Source organism: Homo sapiens, chromosome 11 (genome assembly GCF_000001405.40).
Source record: "Homo sapiens chromosome 11, GRCh38.p14 Primary Assembly".
NCBI classification, from domain to species: Eukaryota; Metazoa; Chordata; class Mammalia; order Primates; family Hominidae; genus Homo; species Homo sapiens.
The window spans coordinates 119,728,285-119,744,438 of record NC_000011.10 but is presented as its reverse complement, the minus strand read 5'-3'; the positions used below and the strand labels follow the sequence as shown (position 1 = coordinate 119,744,438).

Here is a 16,154-nt window from a genome sequence, read left to right as displayed (position 1 = left end):
TAGGCCAATGTATCTGCTTGGCCTGGAAGCACCCAGATGGAGTTTCCAGCTTGCAAGGAACCCCTGAACACACTAGTGCTGAGAAGATGGCTTTTAATTCAGATGAAGGTGAGGGCAGTGGTGATGAAGAAGAAAGGGGATGGGAGGGGAAGGAAAAGGTGGGGAGGAGGAAGAAGAAAGGCAATTCCTGATGTCTTAATTTCATATCCAGTCTTCCCAGTTGCCTCTAACACCAGTGAGCTCTGCTTCCCAGAAATGGTGGTGAAGATACACACTCATGCCTGAGCATTCTTACTTGCTCTCTCTGTGTCTTTCTCTCTCTCTCTCTCTCTCTCTCTCTCTCTCTCTCTCTCTCTCTCTCTCTCTCTCTCTCTCTCTCTCTCTCTCTCTCTCTCTCTCTCTCTCTCTCTCTCTCTCTCTCGCTCTCTCTCTCTCTCTCTCTCTCTCTCTCTCGGCAGTGCCTGCAATATAATGTGGTGATTAAACTCAGGCAGAGCCAGGCTTCCTGATTGTATAACAGGCGTTGCCACCTCCTCGCTGTGGGACTTCAGACAAGTGTCTTAACTTCTCTGTGCCTCGGTTTTCTTTTCAACACAATGGGGATAACAACAAACATGACCTCATAGAGTTTCATGAAGATTATGAGAGTCAAGATACGTAAAGCACTTAGTACAGTGCCTGGCTAAGGAGGTATTCTGTAAGCATGAGCTGTAACTATCTTAGGGTGCTGTGTTTTTGGCATCTTGTCCTGGTCCCGTTTTCATGCAGATGGGATAGGGGGTGGGGAATTGTCCAGGTTGCTGGCACAGTTTCCAGCTCAGTATTCCAGCAGTCAGCAGAGATGGGCTGCCTGGGGAAGAAGTGAGCTTCCAGTCACTGGGAGTGATCAAGCAGAATCCAGATGAGCATTTGGCATGGATATGGCAGAACAGGTGAGGGAGGAGGGGGAAGGCCTCTTCCAAAGTCCCTTCCAACCCTGAGAGCCTGGGAATGTGTGAGTAAACCCACATCTCCAGGCACCTGCATGGACGGAGCCTTGCCCACAAATAAGGATGCATGTACAGGGGCACACTCTCTGCCCTGGCATTGAGGAGCAAGAAGAAGTGTTATAAACCAAGCAAACCAGCACCCCCACCCATGCTCTCCCCGGCCCCCAGCCAATTCCTGTGTGCATACAGGCATCCAGGTGGCGAGCGGGAGCTTTGAGGGAGGTACCAAGTAGATATCACTCCTAGCTCTCTTTTAACGGGTACCAACTGCCAGCCACACCCCACCCACCACAGGCCAGCTACGAGGCAGGGCTGGGGGCAGGAGCCAGGAACGGGTTAGATAGTAGGGTGTTCGTTCTACTTCTGATGTGCGTGGACTGATAGGGAACCTAGGAAAGTCCTGGCCTCCAAAGATCAGGGTGCCCAGAATTCAGGTGTTGTGGGAGGGAAGGCCTTTGCCCATCACGGAGGGAATCAAGCAGGCGTTTGTAGAAGGGCCGGGCACCCCACCTCCAGCAAAGGCTCAAATTCAGCTCCACCTTCAGGTCCAAGCAGCTTCCTTTTAGGGGTAGGATAAGAAGAGAGATTGCGAAAATCCTTGCTGCCTAAACTCTCCTGCCCTGGCCTTCTCCTCTCCTCGCCGCACCGCGCACAGTTTCCAGCCCTCCTTCCGCTGGGAGCCGCGCCCCCATTAGCCATTCCGCGCTGATAAGCCCGCGCTGCCCTGCCGCACACTCAGACCCTCCCTCAGCCCGTGATGCATTACTGCATATGATTTGTCTTTGCAGCAGCTGCCACAGCAGTTCTTCCTTCCTAACAATATTGGCTTCGCCTGGTGTTAAAAAGGGGCCGTAAGTGCCACCGAACATCTTTGCTGGGGAGAGGAGACCGCACACTGGGGGGATGGGGAGGCGGGCCCGCCCCGAATGAGCCATTTGCTGCGGATTCATCCAAAGGCCGATGATCCACTGGCAAAAATTAGGCAGGGGGTGGGGCGAGGGGTTGGGGAGGAGACAAGAGCTAGTAGGGGGCGAAGAGACGACATCCGGGAGGCGGGGCTTTCCCCCCAGGCCGGCGCGCCCAGCCCCACGCCCCCTCGCACCCCTGCCCACCCACCCCCGGGCCCTGCGGAGTGTCAGGCGCGGCAGGAGGCGGGGTGTACCTGTGTGTGCCTCTGTGTGTGCATGTGCGTGTGCGCGTGCCTCTGTATATGTGTGCGTGTACCTCTGTGTGTACCTGTGTGTGCGCGTGTGCCTGTGTGTGCCTCTGTGTGTGTGTGCGCGTGTGCATGTGTGTGTGCCTCTGTGTGTGTGTGCGCGTGTGCCTGTGTGTGCCTCTGTGTGTGTGTGTGCGCCTCTGTGTGTGCCTCTGTGCGTGTGTGTGCCTCTGTGTGTGTGTGCCTCTGTATATGTGTGCTTGTGCTTCTGGGTGTGTGCACCTCTGTGTGTGCGCATGTGTGTGCCTCTGGGTGTGTGTGCCTGTATGCCTCTGTGTGTGTATGCCTGTGTGTGCCTCTGTGTGTGTGTGTGCCTCTGTGTGTGTGTGCCTGTGTGTGCCTCTGTGTGTGTGTGCCTGTGTGTGCGTGTGCCTCTGTGTGTGCGTGTGTGCCTCTGTGTGTGTGTATGCCTCTGTGTGCGCGCGTGTGTGTGCGTGCGTGTCCCCACCAGCCTTCCTACCACAACCCGGCCGCTCTTCCCAATCAATGGTCTCTTTGTGGCGGAGGGACTGGAACGACGTGTGCGGGGGAGGGTGGGAGGCTGCCTCCTGGGCACCCGGCGCGCCCGACCCGAGCTGACAGCCGTGGGGCAGGGCTCCCCGTACCCCAGTAAAAGTACGTTCCCCCGAGTGTCTCTACCCTCTGTGGACCTAGAGAATGGGGCCGACAGAGGCGGTGGCTGGAGCCTCCCGGACTCTGCGCTATGGGGCGGTTGCAGGTCCCACACGGGGAAGGACAGGGACGCTCTCTCCGCGGCCCACGACCGCTAGGTGGCGCCGTGCCCGTCCCGCCTCCAGGAGGCCCCGCAGGGTCCCAGGCGCCCAGGGTACCTGGAGGCGAGGTGGGGAGGCGGAGAGGAGGTGGGGGCAGCATTCCCGCAGTCTCATTCATTCGTGCATTTGTCCATGCCCACTAAATTGGACAGTCGGACAGAGGGACAGGTGCACATCCTTCTCTTGAAGGTCTAAATGCCCAAACCTCAGAGAGACTAGAGAGATACCCCACAGGAAAAGTGAATCCAAGGTCATCTATGGCAAAGGCCAAGCGAGAGGTATACCCGGTGCGCTAAGTTCAGAAACAACCGTGGAATTCGACAGCACAGAACCCCGAGATGGGTTATCTTGACCATTCTGCGCCAGACCAATCAGATGGGGGAGAGTCATTCATTCCCGCCAGTGCCAGGCCCTGGGCTGGACTTCAGACACTCAATTGTGACCTGTCCTCAGGGAGTTTATGGACTAGTGGGGGAAAGACATCAGGCAGATAACTACACAAATAATTCCCTAGCTACAGCTGTCTTGCACGTGCACAGGTGTAGAAAAAGGGGAGAAGAGTCAACCCTCGCCCTGGGTTACCTGCTCCAGCCCTAACTAGGGTTGGAAGTAGGGGTGTTTGCCTTATGAAGAACATAAATCACTTCCTCTTAGTTCAAAATTGAAATAAAAGCAGTAGTCTAACATCTGAGGCACAGTCAAGGCAAGACTGACCATTTTTCGGGGGTAAACTGGGGACCACAGGAAAAGAGCCTGGAGACAAAGCGCTTAATTCTATGTGCGGGGCATGGTGCATGGTTACTCCTTTAATCTTCGGTCCACCCTGTGGAGCGGATGTTAAGCCTACTTTACAGAGCAGGACATTGAGGCCCAGGGAAGTAAGAGACTGGCCCAGAGTGCCAAGAGCCAGTTTATGACAGAGCTGGGACTGGACCCCATAACCGCCTCAGGCCCAAGTCCCATACCTCTTCTGCTATAACAGCCTGCCTCTAGGACCACGTCTGGATGCCCTGCTAGGGCCAGAGCAGTAGGGTGGAGGGAGATCAGAAAGAGAAAGGGGCTGGGCAGGTGAAGAAGCCTCCAGATTGGGGCCCTCATCACCACTCCCAGCTCATCACAGCCAGCCCTTTCTCTGCATCTCCTGACCAAAGCACCACCCGCTTAACATTCTGCTCAGTTTCCTCTGTACTCCGACTCCAAATGTTTATCAACACATGCTGTAATGTAATCAGCTCCTGGGAAAATACACACCAGGTAATGGATGCTGATAAGAGTGTCAAACAGATGTCCCCTCCCTGCCCCTCCCTCCCAGCCAGAGCTGGCACACCCAGGAGGCTGGGGAGGCATCTCTTGCCACACCACCCCTCCAGCCCTGGCAGCCGAGGCATTCCTCCAGAAGCTGCCCAGGCAGGCAACAGGGCCTGACCCTGTGGGGCCCAGCATTGTACCAGGCATTGTGCCGTGGACTTTACACACCTCACAGTAGCACTATAAGTTTGGTGTTACTATTCCCATTTTGCAGATAGAGAAACTAAGCCACAAAATAATGATGAAACCAGAGTGAAGCAGCAGCATCAGAAGTAGATTAAGGGGCCATCACTCCACTTCTCCATTCATCATCAGGCAACCTCCCCACTGAACATGGCCCTTTGAAGGAAGCTGCCCTCATTACCTTTCTAAGTTGTTGGATCTAAGGCCCCAGCCTGTATGGACTTGGCAAGTCAGGTGGAGGAAGGCTTGCAACATGTTCCTCATTTCTGGCCCAGCCAGGTAGGAGACAGGGTCCTGAACCTGTCCTGAAGGCTCAAGCAGAAGAGGGAGGCTCCCACTAGGCATGTGGGAGTAGAAGGGGATCCAAGGGAAAGGGAGAGCCTTCTTTGTCCTTTTCTCCTCCCTTTTCCTCAAGGGGCTTAAGGACCCACACGTGGACCTAGACAGAGGGGAGAGAAAGTGCACAGAGTTGAGGACAGCCCTGATGGAACAGGATCCCCCCACCCTCAGGACCTTCCAGGACCAGCTGTCTGAGGCTGGGCAGTCCTAAAGGAAATCGGTATTTGCTTTTCCCTCCAACGCAGTCAATTGCTCCTTTCATCTGGCAGGGAGTTGTAAATGAGAATTTATGGGATTTCTAATGATGGCGGTTTCCCTTTATCAGCCTCCAATTCCCACTTCTCAGCTGGGGTTGACTCAGGGAAATGTTTTGACCAGGAATCAAGAATCTAGCAGGCCCCTGCCCTGGCTGCTGCTTTCTGTAGTGAGGGCTGGAAGTTGTCAAATAGGCATGGGAAGCTCACTACCAAGAAGTCAGATCTGAGTTTCAGGCCGCCTCCCAGATGGCGAACTTCACCCCTCTAGCTTCTGTTTCTTCAACCATAAACCTGGGGTAATAATGCCTGCTCCACCCACCCGTCTCACAGGGCTGCTGCGAGGATCAAATGAGATTACAGGCCTGAAAGCCCTTTGAAAAATATGAAGCAATCATCCACCCTGGTTTTGCTATTATTATTATTGCGGTGGTGATTGTGTGTAGGTGCAAATGGGAAAACACATTATGGCAACCTGCACGTCTTTGAGAGTGAGCTTGTTTGTGTACACGGAAGTGTATGTGTCAGTTTGCGGAAGAGTCGAGCTCTTGTGTGTGCACCTGGGTTTAAAAGAATGTATGGGGCAATGTGTGTGCATCTATGAGTGTATCAGTACATGTGCACATATTAAAGTGTCTTAATATAATAATAGCATATTAAAATAGAATATAATGGTCCTATGGGCCAGGCATTGTGCTAGACACTTGATATGGATGCTCCTTTTTAATTCTTGTAATGTGTTTGTAAAGGCATGAGAAGGGGTCTGGGCCAGTGTAGGTGTGCGGGCATCTATGTGAGGCTGTGTATACAGCATTTGTGACATCCATGTGTCAGTGGTGAAAGGGCATGTCTCTGATGAAGGTAATGGCATGTAAACTAATACAATGCCTATTCATCTCATCCAGGTAGCAGGGAATCTCTCCATGTGCTCGCCTGAGTTTCAATGAAAGGATGGGCATAAATGTCAGTGAATCTGAATGTGTGTGCGCATGCATGTGTGTGCATTCACATGCATAGGGGTGCACACCTGCCTTCCTGTTCCTAGGCCGATTAGTATAATTGTTTGTTAATCATCAGCTGCCTGGGCTGTGTGAGCCCCCGGCATGCCCTGAGCGCCATTGCCACGCAGCCATCAAACCCACACAGACACACTGTGGTGACAGCAGCATGCTTGGGAGGGAGTGCCACTCTGCTCTCTGGAGTCACAGTCTGTGCCAGGCAGCAGACCCCTGCCAGGGGAATGTCCAGATTGACTACACCAGGTTTGGAGCTGCAGAAGTGCTCCACAGATGGGCTAGGCTCAGAGCCTTAGAGCAAGACAGACAGAGCCCAGAGGACCTGGGCCTAACAGGCAAACCAGAGCCTGGACCAGGAATGCCATCTGAGCACAATACGGGTTGGGGCTGCTGAGTGGCCAGGTATAAAACACGCTTGCTGGGCTACAGCCCTACCATGCACGGCTCCCTGTGACCCTCAGGATGAAGTCCAAACTCCATAATGCAGCACAAAGGCCCTCATGACATGGGCACGTGACTCCCCAGGCCCCTCTCTAACACTCACCTCTTGCACCGCACCAGCCAGACTGAATGAACTACTCTCAGTCCTTCGGAGCACCCAGCCTCTGGGCCTTCTTGCTGTCTTCTCCTGTGCCTGATTTCTCTACAACATGACATCCCTGGCCAGCCAGTCCTCATCCCTCAAGGGAGCTCTACTCATCTCTGCAGGAACATGCCCTGACCCTTCCTGACCCCCTAGACTAGGGAAGGGTCCCTGCACACCTGACATTCCTGAAGTCCCTAGCTTTCCCTGCTGTCCACTTCCTTATGGATCCTTGCCTCCCCCATTAGACTTTGGTCCCAGGAAGGAAGACAGCATGTTGCAGCCATTCACGGAATATCCAAATGCCTAGCACAGATCTGATTGTAGGTGGTCCATACACATTTCTTGAACGAATTATTGTTAAAAGCCAGTTGTGAGAGACCAGTTGTCTTAAGCTCTCCATATACAAATCATGATACCCATCCAGACAGGCTCTTGGTCTCTCAGATCTCAAGGCTGGGGAGAAGCACCCCTTTCCCCACTCTCTTCCTCCATCCCACCCCACCAATGATAATCATCATCCCCAACAGGTATGAAGATGGCATACAAAATGCCTTTACAAAGATCCTGGGAGTCGTCAGTGTCATCTTACAAGTGAGGAGACTGAGGCTGACAGAGGTATTAATAGCTTATTAATAGGGTGACCAACTTGTCCCACTTTGCCTAGGACCTTCCCAATTTTAGCACTGAAAGTCCCGTGTCCTGGGAACCACCCCCTCCTCAGCCCCAGGTAAACTCCAGGTTTCACGGTTAGTAAATGGCAGGTCCAGGACTCAAACCTAACTCCAGAACACAGCATCCTCTCCCTTGGCTGCCTCCTTGGTAGCATGTGGTCTCATGTTCCTCAGAATTCAGTTACCTGCATGGGCATTTTCTGCCCTCTGGATGTCACCTGCAGGCCACTTGGCAGCCTCCTGGATCACCTCTTTCTGGAAACATGTACTCAGGATGTACAGGGCATTAATATTAACCTAAATCAAATATAATTTGAAAGCTCATTTCTTCAGGAAAAGCACTTTACATAATAGAGAAATAAAATTAAATCTATTATTAAAGTAGCCTCATAATGATATTAAAGTAAATTTTAAATAAAATAAAAACTCTTCACCCACAAATTATTTTCATTTCTCCATGTCACCTTCACATTTTTCTCTTTATAAGTGTATATTTTTACAGAATTATAATGCAGTCTATGGATAATACTTGTTCTTTTCACTTCATATTATAGAAGGGTCTGGGTTGGACTTTCCTCATTTGGGGTTCTCCATGTCATTAGCATCAGTCATTAGCCCAGATCACAGGGAGTCTGGGCTCAGGGCTGCCTCCTTCCCAAAGCACTCCTTCTTCAGCAGGGATTCCTAACTCAAGGCCCCAGCTGGGCTTCAGCAGGTTGCCATGCAAACACTGTCCTTGTGCGTATGTGCAGTTTTCAGGGACACAGCGCTCATCAGATCCCGAAAAGGTCTGAGACCAAAGAGTCAAGACCCACAGCTCCACAGCCCGAGCCTTACCTCCCCACTCCCAGGCAGGCATCAACCATGAGCTTTTTCTGCTGGGGTTGGGCTGATCCAGGAACTCTGCTCTTCCCTAACAATACCTTCTATTTCTTGGTTTTCACATAACTTGCAAGAAAAATCTGGTTCCTCTAGACAAGTAGTCCATCCTGATAATTATCCTGACCATAACACCCATCCCTGGATATAAGAGCATCATCAAAGGGAGGAAAGTGTGGGTGGGAGGTTGAGTATCTTCCTTTCTCAAAGCCCTTTTCCCTTTCATCTTTCTACATAAGGCATGCTCCACACAGAAGCTCCACTCCGTCCCTTCCCATCTTCATGACCTAAGCTCTCCGGTCTATGCGGATCCTGGATGAAACCCTCTTCTCAGTATCACCGTTGAGTTTTAAGTGCTCCCATCCCTAATCAGGAGTGCCGCCTCTACTCACAACCAGAATTCTTTAGGATTTGGGACGTCATGATTCACAGAAGTATACTGAGGGCCTTCTGACCAGACACAAGGCATAGAACAATTTCCCTTCTTTCTGGAGAGTTAGATGGTTCAAGATGGAACTTGGGCCTTCCTATCACCTCTCAGAGCTCAGCCCCAAAAGCCATGCAGATCGCTGGGACACCATGGCCCACAAGGGAGAGGCTGGTGTCTGTTAACCATCCTGGCAGCACTTCAACACAGTGGATCATTGGACTGGGGAGTGGGTGCAGCTGTGTGTAGTTGCTCCATCCCCAAGAGCAATGGCAGCCAAGACTCTGCAGTGATCTCCATAGGAATAACAGTAATTAAATGTTGCTAAGCGCTGTGGGATACAGAGGCACCATCATAATCACCACAGCCACCAGCGTGATGACCATAGTAATTAGGTGCTGTGGCTTCCCATCTACCCTGGGAGCACTGCCTGAGGTGAGGTTGGCCTCAGGTTAGGGCAAGAGGGTAGCCATGCCAGCTGGGTCCTCTTTGGGGTTGGCTAAGGCTTCAGCCATACTTTCTTCATGGGATTCCTCCTCCTTTCCTCTCCCCTTGCTCTCAGCCTCAACTGACACCAGGGTAAGGACTGGGGACACAAAAGGGGGTGACCCCCATCCAGCATGCCACTCCAACATATCTTCTCCTATTGACAGATTTCAGGGGATTGGGGAATCTTGGGGAATTCTTAATAGGGCTCCTCTCACATCAAAGTGAACTTTATTAGCCAATTTCTGAATGACACAGAGGGGCCTGGGATATGACCAGGAGGGGAAGTCATTACTGTATTGACTTTGGGCCTTTTCCAAGCCCAACAGCTGCCTCTCTGAAAGAACCTGTGGAAGTCAAGGGAGGGCTCAGAGGAGAGTTTCCTAGGGATGGTACGTTCCCCAGGGCTGATCTCGTCTAGTCTCCCCACCTCATGCCTCCAGTCCTGAGGTGGGTGAGAAAGGTGAGCCCAACTGCCTGCTCTTCAAGTGGGCTGTCATTCCTGCAGTTATCAAGTCTCAGGGCCAGGAGGGAACATGGAACTCATTGCATCCATGCTCCATGCCAGGGCAAGAAGCCCATGCACAGCATGCCTGATGAACGGGCTTGCAGCCTGAGTCTGAAAAGTGACTGGGAGGTCAATCCATTGTCGGTCAACTAAGATCCCTCAACAGTCTTGCCTAGATTAAACTGAAATCTACCTCCCCCAAAAATATGACCATTGGTCCTGACTTTTCCCTATGAAGACACACAGATGATGCTTGCTCCTTTCTCCCTATAGATTTTGGAAGCTTGGTAGTCATACCCCACTTAACACTCCCTTTGGCCTTCTCAATTGTGAAGTCTGAAGCCGCTTTCCAACCTCTCTCTGCAGATAACTTCAGCTCCCACTGTACTGCAATGACCTTATTATAAACTTCCCCCTTCACTACTCCACCCCAAAACTTCCACCTTCACTACTCTCTTCACCTTCCCTCCAGGCTCAGAGAAAGATGGGTCTTCTCCTTTCCAAGGCTGACCCCTTCCCACCCTCAGTGCCCCCCAACCCAGGACTTGCTCCATAAATGACACCCTATTTCACTTCTTACACTTGCTTCTCCACTCCCTCACTGTCCACTAGCTCTTTTCCTTCTGACTACAAGATGCTCAGTAGCTTTTGATTTCCGATGAAAAAGGAGAAAATAAGCCTCTTGGTCTGTCTTGCTAACCCTCTCCGAGCTTCTCATCCACCTTGCTCATTCCGTCCGCCACCAAACTTCTCAAAAGCAGAGAGGATACCTGCTGCCTCTGCTTTTTCACCTTCCAGTTGCTCCTCCTCCCACTTTGATCTGGGTTCAGCCCCTGCCTAGTCACCAACATCCCTCTCTCAAAGGTCACTGGTGGTTTTGCCACTGCTTCCAAAGACCCCTTCTGATCCCCACCTGCTTTCTGCAGCATCAGACACTGTTAGCAACCTCCTCCACCTCCTCTATTAAATCCTCTTCTCACTTGGCTTCCATGACAACCCTCTCTCCTCACTCCCCTCCTCCTTCACTGACCAATCATCATCTGTCCATCCTACCCACGTTGTTGCCAGATTCATCTCCTGAAGCATAGCTCTGACAGTTCCCAATAAGTGCTTCTCTGTTCAGAAACTTTCCATGGCTCCCCACTGCCTGCAAAAATAAATAAATAAATAATGGAGTTGTAAAATCATGCAACTATATGTAATTCATAATATACAATAATCTGTCACGTTTTCAAACCTTTTTAAGCAGCAGAATCTTCAAAATCCATTAAGAGATATCTTTCTCAAAAGCCCAATTTTCAAGCACATGAAAACACATGCTCTTTAAATGTGGCTCCTGTTGAGCCCAGGAAATTCTAGGGTTTCCAAAACACAACTGGAAAACCAGTGAACAAATTAAACTCCTCAGTCTGCAGATGAGAAAACTGAGGTCCAGAGAGGGGAAGTGATTGGCAGAAAGTGGCACAGGATGTGAGTTAATCAACACATTTTCATTACAAGCCTATCAGGTACCAGGCATGTTCTAGGTGCCAGAGATATAGCAGAGAACAACAGCAACATGATCCCTGCCCTGGAGGAGCTGACAGTCTAATGGGGAGTGAATCAGGCACTATAAACCATCACGAAAGTGGTCCCAAGTATGCAAAGTCTATAGCAGGGGATGATTGGAAATCCCAGTGGCTCCTCCTTGAAGCCTCAGAGCAGGGTGAGATGAGGCTGCAGAAGCAGGCATGGGCCCCTTAGGCCTTGTTGAGGACTTGACACTGGTCTAAGAGTCTGGCAGGCCAAGAAATTGTTCCTGGGCATTGCAACTTGACCATCTGCATTTGAAAATAATCCACTACTAAATGTAATGTTGTATCCTGGATTAAATTGTGGAACAAAAAATAGACATTAGTGGGAAAAAACCTGGGGAAATCTGAATAAATTCTGTAGTTCAGTTAATAGTATTATACTAACACTAATTTCTTAGTTTTGATAGATGTACCATGGTTCTATAAGATGTTAACATTCAGGGAAGATGAATGAAGGGCATATGAAAACTCTGTACCATTTTCACAACTCTATTGCAAATCCAAAATTATTTCAAAATAAAGCTTGTAAAATATATATAAACCATTTTCAGGAAGGGGAAAACTGGATGTGGAGAGACAGATGACAATAATAATGATGACTAATACTTAGACAGTTTTTACTGTACACCAGGCATTGTTCCATGCACTTCACATGTTTGGCTCAAGGCTCATTTAATCCTCACAACTTCAAGAGGTAGGTGCTCTTATTTCTCCCTGTTTTACAGAGAAGGTACCTGAGCACAGAGAAGTTAAGTCACTTGCCCAAGGACACATAGCTATTGGGTGTCAGAGCTGGAGTTTAAGAATTCCAATCCAGGCAGATTAGCTCTCCAGAGTTCCATGTGCTGGACTGTTACATTTTACTCCCCATCTCAGTGCAGACTGGCTATACTGTCAGAAAGTATTGTAAAGACCAGGTAGAAATCATGAGTGCATGGACTAGATTAATAACAGGAGAAATGGAGCAATGTCACTAGACTTTATATATATATATATAAAGAATATATATATATAAAGGATATATATATATAAAGGATATATATATATATCTCAGGGGCATATCAGGGGCATATCAATGTCACTAGACTATATATATATATATAAAGGATATATATATATATATATATCTCAGGGGCAGAATCAACAAAATTGGAACATGGTGGTTCAGGAAGAGGTAAGAAGCAAGAGTGACTCCTGGGCTCACAGCTTAAGAGCAGGAACCAAAGCCTGCTTTCCTGCTGCTTGATCCTGTGTTTCTTCCCTGTCACTAAAGGAAACCTTCTGGTCCTTTTGCCTTCTGTTTGCGCCTACCTGTCCCTTTCTCTTATACATCTCTAAAACGCAAAACAAACTGGAATGCCTACTGTCCTAACACAGGTGGCACCTCTCCCACCTCCACGCACCTCCATGTTCTTGTACAAGCTGTTCCTTCCACTTAGGAGTCTCTCTCCTGCCTCTTTTGGTCCAAATCTGATCTGTCCTTCAGGGTCTCAGTTAAATGTCCCCTCCCCCAGCAACCTTCCCTGCTTGTTTAAAGATGATGAGTGAACAACCATACTATATCACTTACTTGCTTCCATCTTCTCCACCCAACCAATCCCCAGGCAGCCACATCTTCCCTGCTGGCCGCACCCTCTTTGGAAGCTCATTTAAGATCAGAGGATCAAAGAAGCCTGACCTAAAGATGGAGAGAGTGCAGCCGGGTACAGTGGCTCATGCCTGTAATCCCAGCACTTTGGGACACCAAGGAGGGCAGGTCACCTGAGGTCAGGAGTTCCAGACCAGCCTGGCCAACATGGAGAAACCCCGTCTCTACTAAAAATACAAAAATTAGCCGGGCGTGGTGGCACACACCTGTAATTCCAGCTACTCGGGAGGCTGAGACAGGAGAAACACTTGAACCTGGGAGACAGAGGTTGCAGTGAGGTGAGATGGCGCCACTGCACTCCAGCCTGGGCAACAGAGCAAGACTCTGTCTCAATGAAATAAAATAAAATAAAATTAAATTAAATTAAAATAAAATAAAATAAAATAAAATAAATAAAATAAAATAAAATAAAATAAAATAAAGATGGAGAGGATGGGAGGGTAAGAGCAGGGAACAAGAAGACATTGGTACATCTGGGATTGCCCCTTCAAACCATGCCTTCAGCTCCTGCAGTGTGCCTGGCACAGAGCTAAAGGCCATCACAATGAATTCAATTCAACCCTGGCCCTTAAAGCACTCAGCAGCCAGATGGGAGATTCCCAGCTGCCACAAACTAAATCTGATAGCGTGTTCCCCAGTTTAAAACCCTCCTAGCAGCTACCGGGCATGATTCACGAATCTGCAGACCTCTCCTTTCCTCAAGTCTTAGGCTCAGGCTAAACCAGTCAACCCTTTGTGGGCCCCCTACTCACCTGACTATTGCTTACCTTCATTCCTTTGCTCGTGCTGACCCTCTACCTTAAATCCAGTCTCTTTTATGTCTCTGCCCTCCAGCACTTACCTTGGTCTGATAGATGACTCACCGAGACCCTGTGTTCGCTTCCCTGAAGCCTTTACACCAACCCCACCCCGGGCTAAACTGGGCACTTTTTCTGTGACCCACCAAACCCACACAATCCCATATTAAATATTTGTTTACGACATCCGTTTCTATGTCTGTCTTCCCCCACCCTTCAACTAGATTGAGTTCCTTCAGGACAATGATGATGTCTCTGTATCCCCAAGCCAGGCACTGTGTTTTGACACAAAGAAAGCCCAGGTTACATTTGTTAAATGTAAAAGACCATACAGTGAGTGGGTGAGTGTTCATGACAATGCCAGATCTGACTACTTCCGCGAGAAACCGAGACACTCCAGGGCCGGATTCCAGACAGTGGGAATATGGCGCTGTCTTTGCCCCTTCTCCAGTGAGGAACCAGAATTTACGTGTTATCAGAAACAGCCACTTCCCCTCTGCTCCTGCCCGCCTAGAGGGCTGGGCAAAGGGTAGAGGGAGCAGTGTCCGGCCAGGGTCTGGGGAGAATTCGGCTCTCCTTAGTGGGAAACTCTGTCTGTCTTCCTCCCCCAGGGGGAGGGGATGGGGATAGGAGGACCAGAGTAAGGGGAAGAGGGAAGGCCCGGAGGGCGCAGTCGCCTTGGCAGAAATCCTACCACACCCGGATGTAGTGGGTGGTGAACGGGATGGGGCGGAGAGTCCCTGCCCTGCCAGGGACACTGACTGGACGATCCACTTTCGCGGGAATCCCACAAATCTCTCAAAACTAAGGTCCTGGAAACTGGAGGAGAGCTCGTTTTCAGGCTATGTTTGGGCAAGGGCGGGGCGCGGGGTGCTTCAATTTTTGGAAAAGGAACCCCCGAAGGGAGCAGGGATTAGAAAAGAAACTCTACCAGAAACCTCAGTGGGCCCGTCTCACCCACTCATGCCCACCACTGACTTCTCTGGCAGCTCCCCGTCGCCCCGCGCACCGCTGCCTCTCCGTGGAACGTCCAAGTGGTGCAGAGGAGAGGGATCTCCGGAGACTGGGTTCTGTTGCGAGCTATGCCACGTTCCGTCCCGGGCGGAACTCTTCTTTGGGCCTTTGTTTCCTCGTCTGTGAAATGGGGCCAGGGTGGGAGCAGAGGGCTTGCAGAAGCCCTGCCAGCTCCCACGCTGCTAGCCGGGATTCTCCATCCCGCCCTCTCCTCCACCGCCGCCCCCGGCCCGGTCCTAACTCCACCCCCACCCGCCGCGCCTCGGCGCCGCCGGCCGCTAGGGGTCACTGCCTGCCTTTGTCAGCGGAGGAGGAGGGCAGCCCGCGCTCCAGCCGGCTCCCCAGCTGGAAGGCGGCCGAGGGGTAGCTCCCGAGCGAGGGTCCTGAGCCGGACCCCGCAGCCCGCGCTCGCGATCCGCCTCTGCTTCGGTCGGGAAGGCGCGTGCGCTCGGGCTCCGACCGGGCCCCGGCGGGCGCGCATCGAGGCCAGGAGGGGGTTAACGCTAACCCCTCCCCTCTGGCTGACATCACGGGCGAGCGGGTGAGAGGCTGGAGCTCGGCGAGTGAGAGAAAGAGAGCGAGAGCAGCGAGCGCGGCTCCACATTGTTGCGGATCGCCGGCACCCGGCAGAGCGGCGGCGGCTGGGACGCGCGGCGCCTCCGACCCGTTCTCCTCGCGCCCGGCCGCGCAGCCAGAGCCACCCGGGCCGCCGACCGCCGAGCCCCGCGCCCGCCGCCTGGGCCCCGAGCCTTCTGCGCCGCCCGGGTGCGTCCCGCCACCCTCGGAGGACGGCCGGCCATGGACGCCTGCAAGTTGGAGCCGAGCGGGAGGGTGTGAGCGGGCCGGGGCCAGGAGCCCGCGCCGCGCAACCGGGCAGCCGGGCGCGCCGGGGGTGGGTCCCTCTCCCCAGCCCCGCTCTGCGTGGAAGAAGAGGGCGGGGACCGGCGCCGGGAGGAGAGCGGAGGAGGCGAAGGGGCATGACTCGTGCAACTTGCGGCGGGCATCTGCCGAGCCTCTGAGCCGGCGGCGGCCCGGGGCCCGGACTGCGGCCGCGCGGATCCCACCCAGCCCACCCCGCCCCGGCCGACGGCTGCAGCTGACCTGGATCCTTCGAGCGCCCGCCGACCGCCAGCGATCTTCCCTCATCTTCCGGGCTGGTTTCTGCTGCGCGAGGAGCGCTGCCCTCGCCGCCCCTCTCGCCGGACCCCCGGCCCCCGATGGCTCGGATGGGGCTTGCGGGCGCCGCTGGACGCTGGTGGGGACTCGCTCTCGGCTTGACCGCATTCTTCCTCCCAGGTAAGAGCGCTCACCTCTGCTGTCCCCACCCCCATCCAATGCCTCCCCGGGGCTGGGAGCCGGATGGCGGGCACGACTGGATTGTGGGGAGTGAAAGGAGCCAGAAAAGTTGGGTCACGGCTTGGGTAAAGGGGGTGGGAGGTGGCACGGCGGAGAAAGAGGTTGAGAAGCCGAACCGCCTGCCCTGCAG

At 52.3% G+C, this 16,154-nt stretch overlaps 1 protein-coding gene and 1 long non-coding RNA gene across 4 annotated transcripts in view, besides 5 other annotated features; one reads left to right on the top strand and one right to left on the bottom strand.

The window, feature by feature from the left end:
• Nucleotides 1-4,815: 4,815 nt before the first annotated feature.
• On the bottom strand, nucleotides 4,816-14,856 carry NECTIN1-DT (NECTIN1 divergent transcript). The gene is made up of 4 exons (NR_120587.1): nucleotides 14,633-14,856; nucleotides 10,689-10,782; nucleotides 7,521-7,632; nucleotides 4,816-4,908 (listed from the first exon to the last, which is right to left on the bottom strand). It is a non-coding gene; the product is annotated as an NECTIN1 divergent transcript (long non-coding RNA).
• Nucleotides 14,193-15,053: an enhancer, noted in NCBI's record as "H3K27ac-H3K4me1 hESC enhancer chr11:119600096-119600956 (GRCh37/hg19 assembly coordinates)". NCBI's record gives its function as "activates a minimal SCP1, AML or CMV promoter by ChIP-STARR-seq in primed H9 embryonic stem cells {active_cell/tissue: H9 hESC(primed)}" and the evidence as "EXISTENCE:reporter gene assay evidence [ECO:0000049][PMID:30033119]".
• Nucleotides 14,193-15,915: a biological region, named in NCBI's record as "H3K27ac-H3K4me1 hESC enhancers GRCh37_chr11:119599234-119600095 and GRCh37_chr11:119600096-119600956".
• Nucleotides 14,854-15,263: a silencer, noted in NCBI's record as "silent region_3984". NCBI's record gives its function as "represses an Ori minimal core promoter by ATAC-STARR-seq in GM12878 lymphoblastoid cells {active_cell/tissue: GM12878}" and the evidence as "EXISTENCE:reporter gene assay evidence [ECO:0000049][PMID:35858748]".
• Nucleotides 15,054-15,915: an enhancer, noted in NCBI's record as "H3K27ac-H3K4me1 hESC enhancer chr11:119599234-119600095 (GRCh37/hg19 assembly coordinates)". NCBI's record gives its function as "activates a minimal SCP1, AML or CMV promoter by ChIP-STARR-seq in primed H9 embryonic stem cells {active_cell/tissue: H9 hESC(primed)}" and the evidence as "EXISTENCE:reporter gene assay evidence [ECO:0000049][PMID:30033119]".
• NECTIN1 (nectin cell adhesion molecule 1) overlaps nucleotides 15,239-16,154 on the top strand; it is a 91,103-nt gene continuing 90,187 nt past the window's right edge. For all 3 annotated transcript variants that reach the window (NM_203285.2, NM_002855.5, NM_203286.2), the window contains exon 1: nucleotides 15,239-15,964. In NM_203285.2, coding sequence (NP_976030.1) covers nucleotides 15,886-15,964 — 79 coding nt within the window. In that variant the 5' untranslated portion in view covers nucleotides 15,239-15,885. The remainder of the gene's footprint in view (nucleotides 15,965-16,154) is intronic.
• Nucleotides 15,324-15,643: a silencer, noted in NCBI's record as "silent region_3983". NCBI's record gives its function as "represses an Ori minimal core promoter by ATAC-STARR-seq in GM12878 lymphoblastoid cells {active_cell/tissue: GM12878}" and the evidence as "EXISTENCE:reporter gene assay evidence [ECO:0000049][PMID:35858748]".